The sequence below is a fragment of the Homo sapiens genome, chromosome 2 (assembly GCF_000001405.40).
Source record: "Homo sapiens chromosome 2, GRCh38.p14 Primary Assembly".
NCBI lineage: Eukaryota > Metazoa > Chordata > Mammalia > Primates > Hominidae > Homo > Homo sapiens.
The window spans coordinates 229,903,082-229,915,803 of record NC_000002.12 but is presented as its reverse complement, the minus strand read 5'-3'; the positions used below and the strand labels follow the sequence as shown (position 1 = coordinate 229,915,803).

Genomic DNA, 12,722 nt, shown 5'->3' with positions numbered 1-12,722 from the left:
GAGGATTGCTTGAGCCTGGGAGATGGAAGCTGTGCTGAGCTGTAATTGTGCCACTGCACTCCAGCCTGGGTGACCGTGAGACCCTGTCTCAAAAAATTTTTTTTTTTTTTTAGTATACAATAGTATTCCTTAGTTGATTATGAATTCTTTAAAGTCTTTAGCCCTCACCCTTTTTTTAACTTTTATAAGGACACTAATCCCAAGTAGTGTCCCTTTTTATCTCTGCATCTAGCACAGTAGCTGGCCCATGATAGGGATTAAGCGTTTGTTGACAGAATAAGTCTTGTGAAAATAAAATAAGATACTGTAAGTGGAAATATTTTGTAATGGCTTAATGTCCTATTTTTAAAATTTTGATTCTTATTTTGCATCGTTAATGCTAAAATGACTTTGAGACTTTTAGTCAGTATATATTTTGGAGACTGCAAGTTACTTTAAATCATACATTTTAAAAAGAATTAGGGCAAGCCATTTTGTTACTCTTTAATTGACCATTATGTGCATGTAATAGTTGATAAAGTACATTGAGGACCTAAATAAGTTTTTTTTTTGAGATTGAGTTTCGCTGTGTTGTCCAGATTGGAGTGCAGTGGCGCAATCTTGGCTCACTTGTAACCTCTGCCTCCCGGGTTCAAGCAATCCTCCTGCCTCAGCCTCCCGAGTAGCCGGGATACAGGTGCCTGCCACCACACCCAGCTAATTTTTTGTATTTTTAGTAGAGACAGGTTTCACTCTGTTGGCCAGGCTGGTCTTGAACTCCTGACCTCACGTGATACACCCGCCTTGGTCTCCCAAAGTGCTGGTATTACAAGAATGAACCACTGTGCCTGGCCAATATGTTTTAATGCAGTGCTAAATGATTAGTGTTTCCAATTTATAATAGTATACATCATTGTAGTTTATTCTGTTTGTTTCTTTTTAGAGAGCATGTACATATTTCTATAAATATGGTGTTATTACCCATACATGGATTTTTGAAGGCTATTTATAAGCCTAAGTGTCCATCAACAAGCCTTCAAGACTTGAAGTTACAGCATTTCAGTGTGTATTTTAATCAACTTGTTGGCTGTCATAACCAATGAGTTCTACCCTGACTTCAAAACTCCTACTCACTCTAGCCGTGGGCAGTGCTCTGAATAAATAGATGTACCTTGTGCTGTGTTCTTAAGGTCAGATGAACTTAATTTAAAGATTTTATACTGGTAAACATGTGCGATGCCCTGGAAACCTAAAGTGAGTTTTCACAGTAGCCCATCTCTTGAAATTCTCTCTTCAGTTGTAATTTAAGCTACTTTGTGTCCTTAGAGAGCAGGTTCATAGAGATCATATGAATGTCCCCTACTTTTTTTGATTCTCAAAAACCAAGTGCTTCTAGTAGCCTTGTAAATAGGAAATATATGCAAATGCTGTCAACTTCTCAGACCCCAGTGTTTCGTAATTCTGTTTTACATCCTTGGCTGCAATCAGATTGAACTGTTTCTTCCTCTCTGAACACACCCAGCAACTTTTTAGCATTTTTGCTTTGGTTTTTTGTCTACTTGAATTGACACCCCCTCTCACATCTTGTATCTATTATTTTTATTATTATTTTTATTTTTTGAGGCAGAGTTTTGCTTTGCCGCCCAGGCTGGAGTGCAGTGGTGCGATCCCGACTCACTGCAGCCTCCACCTCCACCTCCTTGGTTCAAGCGATTCCCTGCCTCAGCCTCCTGAGTAGCTGGGATTGTAGACTGGTCTCCAACTCCTGACCTCAGGCAATCCACCCACCTCGGCTTCCCAAAGTGCTGGGATTACAAGTGTGAGCCACCGCGCCTGGCCTGTATCTCTTAGAAATATATATACTTACACTTAACTTTCTTCCAGTGACTCCTTTAAAATTTTTACTCCTTACTCTCCTATTCTCCTTCTGTAACATATTTCAGGATGACTTTCACGTTCTGTCTTACATAATTAGTTGTTTACATTTTAACTTAACTGGGTTTTTGGCCTCTTCAAGGTAGAGATCTCATTCTTTTATCTTCACAGTGTCTAGCACAAGGCTTCCAACATAATGCATTGTACATGGTAGGTGTACGTGGTAGTGTGTTCTGGTGTGACACATTGAGAAACGATGTTGTGAAATAATATTAGCATCGTTTGCCATAATTTACTTGCTTGTTTTCATTTTTCAGGGGTTGGCAGCTGAGTGTAGAATATAAATTTTTCAAAATTAGGCTCATTAAAATCAGCTACTTAAGGAATTGTTAAGACCCTAGAATATTTTAGTTAGTTGGTTACCCCAAATTTAGCATTTGGAGATGATGTTTATTAGTAGATGATGATTTATTTATCAATACATATTTATCAAGTGCTTACTGTGTGCCACAATTGTGCTTGACAGAATATAAAAGGGACCTGAAACTTATTCCTTGTCTTCCAAGTTCTGTTATGTTTCATATAGTTGATATTTATCTTATTCCATCACAGCTTATTTGTCTAAAACTGTATATAGGAGTATAGTATTTAGCATAGAGAAATATTCTGTAAAATTCTAAATGTAGATTTTCTGCATTTAGAAAATCTGATATTAGAATGTAAATTAAGAAACATGAATTAGGGCATGATTTGTGGCTATACTAAATAAATTGTTGAAGCATCTTCATTTACAAATATTCAGCCAGGTGCTGTGGCTCATGCCTGTAATTCCAACCCCTAGGGAGGCTGAGGCAGGAGGATGATTTGAGCCCAGGAGTTCAGGACCAACCTAGGCAACACAGCAAGACATCATCTCTACTAAAAATAAAAAATTAGCCTGATGTGGTGGTGCATGCCTGTAGCCCCAGCTACTTGGGAGGATTGCTTGAACCCAGGAAGTTGAGGCTGCAGTGCGTCATGCCACTGCACTCCAGTCTAGGCCACAGAGTGAGACTCTGTCTCAAAAAACAAAAACAAATACTCATCAGCAGCTAATGTGAGTGCATATCTGGTTCCATACAAGATCTGCCCTCTTAGAGGGTGCTGAAAAAGAAGAGATTTATAAAAGGAGATTCCTTATCTTGAAATGTACTTTGTTGTAGATGAGTTGAAACTTACGACTACAGCACACAACATCTAACATTGTGCATATTTGTTATTAAGTACAAGATCGAGTTTTATACAGTGGGTACTTGGAAGTTTAGAGAGGTTCAGTTCTGGGTTGAAGTTACTTAGGAAGACTATGAAGAGAGAGGGGCTTAAACTGGCCCTGATTGTTTGGAGGAAGATATAGAAGAATGGGGAGCTTAAAGGTGTAATTGTGGTGAGGATCTAATATTAAGGTAAATGGGCTCTCTGGAGTAGAGGGTCCATATATATGAAATAACAGGAAATTGGGCTGAGATTATTGAAGTTCTTAAATGGGAGATCACGGAATTAGATTTAACAGATTATGTTGAATGATTGTTGATCCCTGAATAGGTGATGTGAAAAAGGTGTACAAAAATATTTATGAATGAACTGAAAACAAAAATAAAAGTGCTTTTAGATGTCATTTTTTATGACAGTGCTTCCCTTTCTGATACTACATATAAAAGTTTTTGTATTAAGTTTTGGAGGAGATAGAAGTAGTGAAGGTAAAACTTCTTGTTTTTTCCTGTTGTTTAAAATGTTAAATAAGCAGAAGCTGGTTTATTGTCTAAATGACCCACACCAGTCCTCTGTTGGACACAGAAGTCTTCCTTTAGTGGAAGCTATCAGTCATTTTGTCTCAGCACATTCAACTGTTGTTTGTTCAGATTTTTTGTAATTCAAAATACTTTTTGATACCTAATGCATGATTTTTTGTGAGTTGTCCTCAGTAATTTGTAAGTCTTATATAGGGAAACTTTTGCTTAGCGTTCAATACAGTGAAATTATGTTTAAAACAAAAGTGAATTGTGGCTTAAATATTTAAATACTTCTGGTTTTTTTTTTCTAGCCATTACTGACTCTGGGATAAATATGTAAATACTTTTAAAAAGTACAAATTAATATTACATAGTTTAATCAAATTAAATATTCTAATAAAATATTCGCTTTGCACTCTGCATAGTAGAGTTGTTACCCCTTTAATTGTTTTTAAAATTTTATTTTGACACATAATATGTATGTATTTATGGGGCACTTAGTAATGTGTCAATACATACAATGTATAGTAGTCAGACCAGGGTAATTAGCATACCATCATCACAGACACTTATTATTTCTTTGTGTTGGGACATTCAATATCTTCCCTCTAGCTATTTGAAACTGTATATTAAACTATAGTCACCCTGCAGTGGAATAGAACAGGAGAACATACTCTTCCTATCTAGCACAGTTTTATATCCTTTAACAGATACCATTACTTTTATACAAGTATGTATACAGGATTTTAAAAATGAGAAGTTAGGTTGTATGGTGGCTGAAGAGAAACTAAAAACAATTTTTTTCAGTGTTCTGATAGCTATGATATTTAGCTTTCTTTAGCAGCTTTTATTTCTGGTGTGTTCTTACAGACTTTCCTAATTGCAGTTTGGATTAATTTGATTCTTATGTAGAAAGCAGAGATGCTAGCTATGCAGATTTATGACTCAGAATTGTACCTGTTTGTAGAGTAAGGAAGGCTGTATTGTCCAACATTTTGTGGACTTTAGAATAAAAATATTCGTGAAGTCTATCTGTTTTACTGCTGTAGCACAAGAGTGCCTGTTTTTCTGTAAAACAGCCACCCAGCTTCATATATTTTTTCCTTTATATGAAGCATGTATTTTCATTTCTTCCCACCTAGGGAAAGCAGCTTAGTCTCAAGGGAATTTGACCCTGCTCTCTACCCTTCCACCCCAGGTCCAAATGCATTTGTGCCCTTCCCCCAGTAGATGGCAACAAGTAGGCTGATGTTTAAGAAGATTCAGTAGTCTTAACTTTGTGATCAGACCTATTTACTAATTATTTCTCAACTGTCATTAGTAATGTTAGTGTTGATTTTCACATTCTGGCCTCAAAATCCTTTCAGAAAACTAGACTGTTAATTGCAGAGTTCATCTTTTTTACTCTACTCTTCATCCTGCCTTTTGAAAAGTGTTGCCTTTCCAGTTGCTGCTATGAACTAAGACTTGGGGTATTTCAGCCTTTGGTGTGGTGCTGTAAGATAATCTCCTTCTGCCTCTTCTAACCATCTAGTATTACTTTTCAGCTGCCTGTATATTAGGCCATGACATTTTTTCCAGGTATCTTGTCATTACAGAAAGTAAGGACTACTGAAAGGAATTACTGAAGAGCTAATACACCATCATTTTATATCTTCATTGTGGTACATGTTTTAATTGATACTCAGTTTATTTCTTGAATCATTTAAGGAATTGGTAAACTTATGTTTGCTGGAATACCAGAGTTTCTTTCTCTTCTATAAAATGGGTCTACTACCTAACTCATGTGTTTACTGATATTCAGCCATAGTGTTACGGTTTTGTTTCTTATTACTAAAAAAGAAAATGAAGGTGATTCATAATTACAGAGTTAACTTCTGAGAGTTTACTGTATCTCAAGAAACTTAGAACTTTTTCATGATTCCTGCTGAGTTTATTTAAATTTTTAATGCAATAGTAAAGGATTTGGGAAGTTTTCCATATTTCTTCAGACAGTTGTAAAGTTAGGAATGGCTTAATCTATCTATAGTTATTTTAAGGAGTGTAAAATCAAGGACTTAGTAAAACAACAGTTCTAAAAAAATTCTGGAATTGTTTCTATTTTAAGGGCTAGTATTAGAATCATGGCTCAAGGAAAGGAGTTATCTTGGTTTCAGCAACTGCTGCATTTAGCTCTTAAAGGTGTTGCTTGAATTGCATGTAGCAATACTCTCAAACCTAGAAAAGCAATCATTTAAGGCATGTCAGTGCAGTTACTCTAGCAGTGGATATGGAATTAATACATGTGAATTATAAGCAAATGGTATATATATATTTTTTGTTTTTAGAGTTGGGTGTCTCACTCTGTCTCCCAGGCTGGAGCATAGTGGTACAATCATGTCTCACCATAGCCTTGAAAGCCCTTGGATCTTGTGATCCTCCTGCCTTCACCTCCTGAGTAGCTGAGACTACAGGCTCACACCACCATACCTGGCTACTTTGTTTTTTTTTTTTGGTAAAGACAGAATCTTGGTTGCCCAGGCTGGTCCTGAACTCCTGGCCTCATGCAGTCCTCCTGCCTCAGCCTTCTAAAATGCTGGAATTATAGGCATGAGCCACTGTACCAGGCTTTTTTTTTTTTTTTAGACAAGGTCTCAACGCTGTCACCTAGGCTGGAGTCCAGTGGCACAGTCACTGCTCACTGCAGCCTTAACCTCCTGGGCTCAAGCGATCTTCTCACCCTAACCTCTTGACTAGCTGGGACTACAGGTGTTCACAACCACATCCAGCTAATATTTTAATTTTTTTTTTTTGTGTGTGTGGAGCCAGGGTGTCCCTATGTTGCCCAGGCTGGTCTCAAACTCGTAGGCTCAAGTGATCCTTCCACTGTGGCCTCCCAAAATGCTGAGATTACAGGCATGAGTCACCACTCCTGGCCCTTATCAGGGTATAATAAGTATTTTTGAACACTTCTTATTTCAGGCCCTAGGCCAAGATTTAGGATTATAAAGATATATAAAATGTAGTCCTTGGCCTGGAGTTTACAGTCTTAAAGGGAGAGTGGTAAACTTGGACAAAACTAACATAAAATCTCTTTTTTTTTTTTTTTTTTGAGACAGAGTCTCACTCTGTCACCCAGGCTGGAGTGCAGTGGCGTGATCTCAGCTCAGTGCAACCTCTGCCTCCCAGGTTCAGGTGATTCTCCTGCCTCAGCCTCCTCAGTAGCTGGGACCACAGGTATGTGCCACTGTGACTGGCTAATTTTTTTTATTTTTTGTAGAGGGGTCTCGCTATATTGCCCAGGTTGGTCTTGAACTCCTGGCCTCAAGTGATCTGCCCGCCTCGGCCTCCCAGAATGCTGGGATTACAGGCATGAGCCATCATGTCTGGCCGCATAGCCTCCCAAAGTGCTGGGATTATAGGCGCGTAAGCCACCATGTCCAGCAGCATAAAATCTTTTTTTTTTTTTGAGACGGAGTCTCCCTCTGTCACCCAGGCTGGAGTGTAGTGGCGCAATCTCGGCTCACTGGAAGCTCTGCCTCCCGGGTTCATGCCATTCTCCTGCCTCAGCCTCTCCGAGTAGCTGGGACTACAGGCGCCCGCCACCACGCCCGGCTAATTTTTTGTATTTTTAATAGAGACGGGGTTTCACCATGGTCTTGATCTCCTGATCTTGTGATCCGCCTGCCTCGGCCTCCCAAAGTGCTGGGATTACAAGTGTGAGCCACCGCGCCCGGCCTAAAATCTCTTAAACTGAATTGTGAGACGTTACGCGGATGCTTCATAAGATGACCAACTGTTTGGAATAAAGAATATGGTAAAAATACTACCAAGATATTTCTCAGAATAGTTGCATTATTTGCATCTGTATATATTTGCCCACCTTGAATTCAGATTTAAATTCCTGGTTCCCTTTTTGATGTATCACTTTAAAAGGTATATAATATAGTCTAATGATCTAGGTCAGTCCACTGGTGTGGAAAATGAATGGGATAAGAATATTAAGAAAAGGCATCTTGAATAATATTAGCAACTAACCTGTGTTGAATCCTTCCCTTGGCTCAGGGCTGGGCCTGTGGTACTTTATATAGCTTAGCACAGTCTGCTGGTGGAGGATAATGTGATAATGTATGAATAATGATAAGTTTAGTGAAGTGGGTAAGAGCGAACACTGAGATTCAGTTTAAATCTAGGCTCCAACATTACTAGTTGAATAACCTTTTTTTTTTTTTGACACTAGTTCTCCCATCTGTAAAATGGAAGTAAAAATAGTATATATATCCTGATTGTTATGAGGATTAAATTAGTTAATATATGTAAAACATTTAAAACAATGCCTGGTATAGGATAAGTGCTTGCATTTGTAAACTATTATTATTATTAATTTGTTATTTTTTTCTAGAGATAAGGTCTCTCTGTTGTTTAGACTGGAGTGCAATTGTGTGATCATATCTCACTGCAGCTTCGAACTTGTGGGCTCAAGTGGTCCTCTCGCCTTAGCTGTGGAGTAGCTAAGACTGCAGACATGTGCCACCATGCCTGGTTAATTTTTTATTTATTGTAGAGATGAAATCTTGCCACGTTGCCCAGGCTGGTCTTGAACTCTTGGCCTCAAGCAATCTTCTTGCCTCAGCTTCCTCAGCATTGTAAGAATACTATTTTTAGTAACCATGCCTTTTGAGAGACAGTGTTTTTATTTTCCTTTCCTTTGCATCTGAAAAGACAGTTTTGAGAAGATGGATTTTTCTGATACTATCTTGGAATTATTTGAGTGGTAGAATTTTAGAGTTGAAATGAGATCATTGCGAGTGTTATGGACTCTGCAGCAAGATGAACTTGGGTTCTAGTTTTTCCTTGTTTGACCTTGAGCATGTTACTGTGTAAAATATAGAAAATACATACTTTTCAGGATTCTTTTCAGTTTTTAATGAGTAAATGAAGTTCTTACCTAGCACAGTGCCTGGTTCCCAGTTGAGTGATCAAATAGTATTTGTTTTATTGTAAATGTTAATAGTTCTCCTAAATGGTGCCTTATTTTCACAGTTGGTGGCAATGTATAAAGTTACAGTCAACAGTGTGTATTTATTTTTAAGATGTTATAATTTAGGTTTTGAGTAAATTTAATGGACAATTAAAATGGAATCTAAAAATTGAAAGGAAAAATAACCCTGACCCAGATTACACACTTAGAAAAGTTTTGTGGGGGGCTGTTTCTAAATTTGATTTAGGTTCAGGTGTTTTATCACTGCTAATTATAGTCTCTTTGACTACTTACAGTTTCAAATAAATAAGGTCAGTGTTAGCAGTGTGATATGGCATACATTTTTTGATGTCTTTATTTTGATATAGTCTCAGATTTATAAAAATCTTGCAAAAATAGTGTAAGGAACATCCCATATTCCTCTTTACCTAGTTTCAAGGTCTTTTTTTAATCGCTAGAGGATAAATTTCTTATTTTTTTTTCTTTTTTTTTTTTTGTTTTGAGGTGGAGTCTTACCGTGTTGCCCAGGTTGGAGTGCAGTGGTGTGATCTTAGCTCACTGCAACCTCTGCCTCCCAGGTTCAAGCAATTCTTCTGCCTCAGCCTCCCAAGTAGCTGGGACTACAGGTGCCCGCCACCATGCCCAGCTAATTTTTGTAGTTTTAGTAGAGACAGGGTTTCACCATGTTGGCCAGGATGGTCTCGATCTCTTGACCTCATGATCCACCCGCCTCGGCCTCTTAAAGTGCTGGGATTACAGTTGTGAGCCACTGAGCCCGGCCTAATTTCTTTTTTTTTAATTAATGGAAGTCTTTTATTTATTTTTTTTTTTTCAGAAATAGATGTAAAACCTGATGAAGAAAGATTCATGCAGTAAACAGTAAACATGTTTCTTTTCTTTTCTTTTTTTTTTTTTTTGAGACAGTCTCATTCTGTCAGCCAGGTTGGAGTGCAGTGGCACCATCTCAAGCTCACTGCAACCTCCACCTCCCAGGCTCAAGCAGTTCTCCTGCCTCAGCCTCCAGAGTAGCTGGGATCACAGGCGTGTGCCACTATGCCCAGCTAATTTTTGTATTTTTAGTAGAGACAGGGTTTCACCATGTTGGCCAGGTTGGTTTCAAACTCCTGACCTCAGGTAATCTGCCCACCTCGGCCTCCCAAAGTGTTGGGATTACAGGCGTGAGCCACTGCGCCTGGCCATGAACATGTTTCTTTATGTGGTTCTTCAACAGTTACTATATAGGTGTTGATTTTTCAGAATGTTCTGAATGCACTGTAATGTTTTGTGCCTGAGTTGTGGCCATCATTAGTGAACATTGGTTTATTATACTTAGCCTTAAGGCCCTCATTGGCTATTGGATACTCCTAAATGGCCTGCTTTTTATAGAACTTAATTGCTTTGTGCAGTGCATGTGTTCTCTCCTTGCTCTGATTGGTGGGCGTCTTGGTGTTTAGGCACTGTGAGCTACACCCTCCTCCCCCAGCTTTTAATATGCATTGAGTTGCAAAACTACTTTCTAGACTTGTGTACCTTAAGTTCAGGGTAAAGGCTTGCATTATGTGGCTTTAAGACAGTGATAATTTTGGTAGCTCAAAGGTATTTTTAAAAGTATATTCGTTATTCTCAGCACTTTGTTACCTGAAGGGATCAATAATGCTTTTGTTATTTTTGAAGATGGTTTAAACCTTTTGTGTCTGAAAACTGTTTTAAGAGACTGCAGAGAAGACAGTATAATAACTGAGGGCCTTATTCTACAAGTGAGGGTCTGTGGTGTGCTGGGTATTCATTATTGTGTATAACGTTTTGCCCTTGACTCTTTCAAAATATATCTTCTCTCTTCCTAAATGACTTTGTCTTTTTGCCTGCTATAACTTAGTAATGACTCCTATTATCTGCACTTGCCCACTTGAAGAGTCTTTTTAAATACACTTTTTTTTTTTTTTTTTGAGACGGAGTTTTGCTCTTGTTGCCCAGGCTGGAGTGCAATGGCGCGATCTCGGCTCACCGCAACGTCTGCCTCCCAGGTTCAGGCGATTCTCCTGCCTCACCCTCCCTAGCAGCTGGGATTATAGGCATGTGCCACCACGCTCAGCTAATTTTGTATTTTTAGTAGAGACGGGGTTTCTCCATGTTGGTCAGGCAGGTCTCGAACTCCCCACCTCAGGTGATCCGCCTGCCTCAGCTTCCTGAAGTGCTGGGATTACAGGCATCAGCCAGCGCACCCGGCCTAAACACACTTTTTATTTTAGGTCAGTTTCAGATTCACAGAAAAGCTTCAGAGATAGAGTTCTCCTATACTCCACATCCAGTTTCTGTTTGTGAAAATTTTAACATTAGTATGGTACATTTGACACAACTAATGACCCAGTATTGATACATTATTACTACCTATACTTTATTTGAATTTTCTTAATTTTCACCTAATGTCTTTCTGTTCCAGGATCCTATCCAGGGTGTCACGTAACATGTAGCGAATGACTTTTTAAAACTTATGCTTTTTGAGGCATTTATTTCTGATTATAAAGTATAGAGCAATTGTTAAAATTTGAATAAAGAAAACTAAGAATCACCCCCAATTTTGCCACCTCATATAACCACTATAAACATTTTTGTATGTAGTCTTTCCTTCTAGCCTCTGTTTTAATAATAGCAGATCATATTGCTTTTCCTTATGCTATTATATGATGAGCATCTTCCTGTTGCATTATTAGTTCTTCATTAATGTGCTTTATATTTACTTAACCATAATTGTTAAAATCTTTCCCTTTTTGTCAGATTAAAATTTTTTTTTTTTTTTTTTTTTTGGAGATGGAGTCTCACTCTTTCCCAGGCTGGAGTGCAGTGGCATAATCTTGGGTCAGTGCAGCCTGTACCTCCTGGGTTCAAGCGATTCTCCTGCCTCAGCCTTTCAAGTAGCTGGGACTACAGGCTCACGCCACCATAGCTGGCTAATTTTTGTAGTTTTAGTAGAGACAGGGTTTCACTATGTTGACTGGGTTGGTTTCAAACTTCTGACCTCAGGTGATCCATCCTCCTTGGCCACCCATGCTGGGATTACAGGTGTAATCCACCACACCTGGCCAGAAACTATTGTTAATAATCCTTTTTAAAAATGCTAGCTTTGTACTCATATCTGTGAAGCCATGCTTTTTTAAAAAGTTAATTTATTTTTATTTTTATTTTTTGATACAGGGTCTTGCTCAGTTGCCCAGGCGGGAGTGCAGTGGCTCCATCTTAGTTCACTGCAGCCTTCACTTCCTGGGCCCAAACTATCCTCCTGCCTCAGCCCTCCTGAGTAGATCAGACTATAGGCGTGCATCACGATGCCTGGCTAATTTTTTTTTTTTTTTTTTTGTATTTTTGGTAGAGACAACATGGGGTTTCACCATGTTGCCCAGGCTGGTCTTGAACTCCTGAGCTCAAGTGATCTGTCTGCTTTGGCATCCCAAAGTGCTGGGATTACAGGTAATGAGCCACCGCGCCTGGCCAAAACCATGTTTTTAAATGAAATTTTCCTCCCTTATCTTTTGTATTACCTTGGAGTATCTTGCATTAACTTGGGATACTTGTAATATCATTTGTATTAACCTTGTGCAGGATGTGGCTCTTTGCTTGTGGCAGCCCAATGGGAAGAGTAAGAAGACTCCTTGTTGTGGCTCACAGGCTCCTACATGGCCACCTCTCTGACATCATCTCCTGCTTTTCTTGCCTTCTACTTGCTCTTCTTGCTCCGTGGAACGTCATCTTCTAGATCTTAATGGCTGTTTCTTCATGCGTAAGGTTTTAGCTCAGATGGCCTTACTTGGTCATCCTATCCATAATAATTCCTTTTTCTGATAGGAACATTTTCACCTGCAAGTAAATAGAAAACTTGACCAACAAGGCCTTAAACAGATTGGGGTTTGTTTTTCCTTGCACGACATGGTTCGTTTGCACAGTGGTTCCAGCAAGGGCCAGGCTCTGTGTGTTTCTGCTCTGCCATTCTAAGCAGCAAGTGGTTCTCACGGTTACTGAATGGCTGTCAAGGCTTGAAGTCATTGTGTCCATTGCATTTGAGTCAGGAAGAAGAAAAGATACTGTTGTGTTCCTATTGTTGTTTATCTAGAAAGCAAAAGTATTCCTAGAGGATGCCTAGCCTG

General features: G+C 38.8%; 1 protein-coding gene across 61 annotated transcripts in view; it reads left to right on the top strand.

Moving 5' to 3' along the window:
- Nucleotides 1–12,722, top strand: part of TRIP12 (thyroid hormone receptor interactor 12) — a 159,350-nt gene that overhangs the window by 7,383 nt on the left and 139,245 nt on the right. Inside the window, exon 2 of one of the 61 annotated variants that reach the window (NM_001348322.1) lies at nucleotides 6,722–6,839. The exons of 59 other annotated variants lie outside the window; for them this stretch is intronic. The gene's annotated coding sequence lies outside the window, so the exon portion shown is untranslated. Of the gene's footprint in view, nucleotides 1–6,717; nucleotides 6,840–12,722 lie in introns of all 61 variants that reach the window. One more of the 61 variants, NM_001348325.2, reaches the window with a different exon arrangement.